The following is a 2,797-nucleotide window of genomic DNA, read 5'->3' as shown; positions in this document are numbered from 1 at the left end:
TACAACATGAATATAAAAATTATTATTAACTTCTTCTTGTTACCTAGAAAAGATCTTATAAAAGGTCTTAGTTAAGTGTGACCTAGAGACTCTATTATCCTGATACTATTAATCTTCAACTTTTCCATAAACTGCCCTGTTAATGTTAATGCTCTTTTAGGTTTTTTATATCATTCTTGACCCATTTGAAGAGGGCTTCTGATTTTCAGCTATTAGTGTTGTTTTAAAAAACGTTCAGTTGCTTCATTGACACAATTTATTTAAAACAAAACTCCATCAAGTGTTTTGTTTAAATAGCTTTGCTTCTCACTAATATAATAAGAAAATAGCTTCCAGTAATCCATTACTCTGAGGAAATTAATTCCATGCTTCTTTATAGAGAGAGATGCTATTGTGTCCTAATTCGTAGAAATTTAAGAAAATTCTATGCTAAGTCCTACTGTTTTGTGTTCTAAACTGCTGCTTTACTACTCCCTACTTGCCATGAAAAAGTAATAATTTGCACATTCTATATAAACTGAGAAAATAATAATTATTAATGTAAATATTAAGATAATGACAGTTCTTTTACAGTTATGCATTTTACTGCCTTTATACATAAATGCTAACATCAGCAATTGTCAAAGTTTACTATTTGGCTATTTAGCATAATAACAAATGGTTTATTTTGCTCAAACTCTTAGCATCTCAATTACCTATAAACCTCCTTTTGCCTTCCAAGTGTTTCCTAATAAAGGTAAACCATAGATTCTGATTTTCATGATCTAGGCGAGCCCAAGGCCTATCAAAAAAAATGAAAAAAGAAATTTAATAAGAGAACAACCACGTTAAACTGGCTCATTCAGACAGATACGTCATCAGTGCAGTGGGAACTAGAAATAAGCATCACATTGTATGTTCTGAAAACCATTGAACTGATACTTTTGTTAAAAATGGTCCTAGAACTTTAGTGTCTTGATAAATAGTATAACAGAATAAATACAGATTTTCTCAGGATGATGTCTCATGAATCTTAGGACTCACAAATTACCAATATATAAAGTTCTAGGGAAATTAAGAAATTAATCTCTCTCTCTCACACACACACGCACACATACACACATGCACAAACACACATACACACACAAATAAAAATTACAAAATATACATAATTACAAAATTACAAAATAACCAGCAGCAAACAGCAAAGGAATATTTGAAAAAGACTTCAGATAAAGGAATTGCCAGACACATAATTCAAATGGTTCAGAAATAATAGGAACTTGAACACACAAGTAACAATTTTCAAAATAACTAAAATAGGCTTTATAAATAAAATAAAGTAATAGACATGTAAAATTTAATGTATCAGTTTAACTACAAGTTGATATATTGGGAGATAATAGTAAACCATTAGATAAGTCTACAGAAATTATGCAGGATGCATCAGAGATTTTTTTTTTTAAGTAAATGAAAATATGAACAAGCTCTTAAGAGACCTGGAGGAGAGGATAAAATGAGAAATGGGGTTGTAGAAGGACAAAAACATTAATTATTCAGATATATCATTAAGAGATGCATTCACCAAGAGTTTTTCAGAAGTAATAAAGTACAACAGTTTACATAGTCACATAGCCAGTTAAATCTAAGTAATATTAATAAAAAAACTTCAGACCTAGAGATATCAAGGTAATGGCTTATAACACGAGACAAACTGATAATCATAAAAATAGCGGAAACCAATGCCTGTTTAACTGCAAAAATGCAAAAATAATACATGTAATTTTAAGAGCAACAATCAAAGTCAGTGGAGTGATTTTGTAAACTTGTGGAAAAGTAAAAGCATGCTGTTTATCTAGAATGTTATACTTAATTATATTATTTAAGAATTACGAGAAATCAAGAATAGTTTTAAAACAAAAGTAGGGCTGGCCTCCAACAAACCTTCATGCATGGGAATTCAAAATGTTGTACTACAACAGGAAGGAGAAAATGATACCAAATGAAAATTTTCTGATAGAAAAAGCAAGGATAGCACAGTAGTAATTAATTGGAATTCATGATAGACCTTAGACATTTTAAAGATGTTTTTAGAGTTTAGATGTGCAACAAAAACATTAGTAAATATTAGAATGACTTAAATACGTGTATTAACATTCTTAGCATATTTATAAAAATTGAAATACATGTAAATATTTCCAAATAGTAAAGTTTGTATGAAAAATCAAAAAACAAGGAAAAGTAAACCTAGAAAATGCGTAGGAAAAATAGAAAGCATAAAATAAGATGACATCAATAAATACAAATATCTATAATAAATTTGAATGGTGAAAATATTATAACTCTTATTCACTAGTATAATGAAGTCCTCACTAATGAATAAAAAAAGAAAGATAAAGGGTATACAGATTGAAAAGGAGGAAATAAAATTGTCATTGTGGATGACATGATCAATTACACAGAAAAATCCTCCCAAATTTACCGGAAAAAAACCTTCCTGGAATTAATAAGTGATTATTGCAAGGTTGCAGGATACAAATTAACATACAAAAGACATTTCCTATATGCCAGAAAAGAACAATTGGAATTTGAATGTGGAAACAAAAGCACCATTTGTATTAGCACCAAAAAAAATGAAGTGTTTAGGAATAAATTTAACAAAATATGTATAAGATCTACATAGGGAAAACCACAAAAAGGATGAAAGAATAAAGACTATCTAAATAGATGAAGAGATAGTTCATAGTTATGAATAGAAAGCCTCAGTATTGTTAAGATATCAGTTCTTTCCAAATTAACTCAAATTGAAACATCTTGA

The sequence above is a fragment of the Homo sapiens genome, chromosome 13 (assembly GCF_000001405.40).
Source record: "Homo sapiens chromosome 13, GRCh38.p14 Primary Assembly".
NCBI classification, from domain to species: domain Eukaryota; kingdom Metazoa; phylum Chordata; class Mammalia; order Primates; family Hominidae; genus Homo; species Homo sapiens.
Note: the sequence above shows the minus strand (reverse complement) of the source record.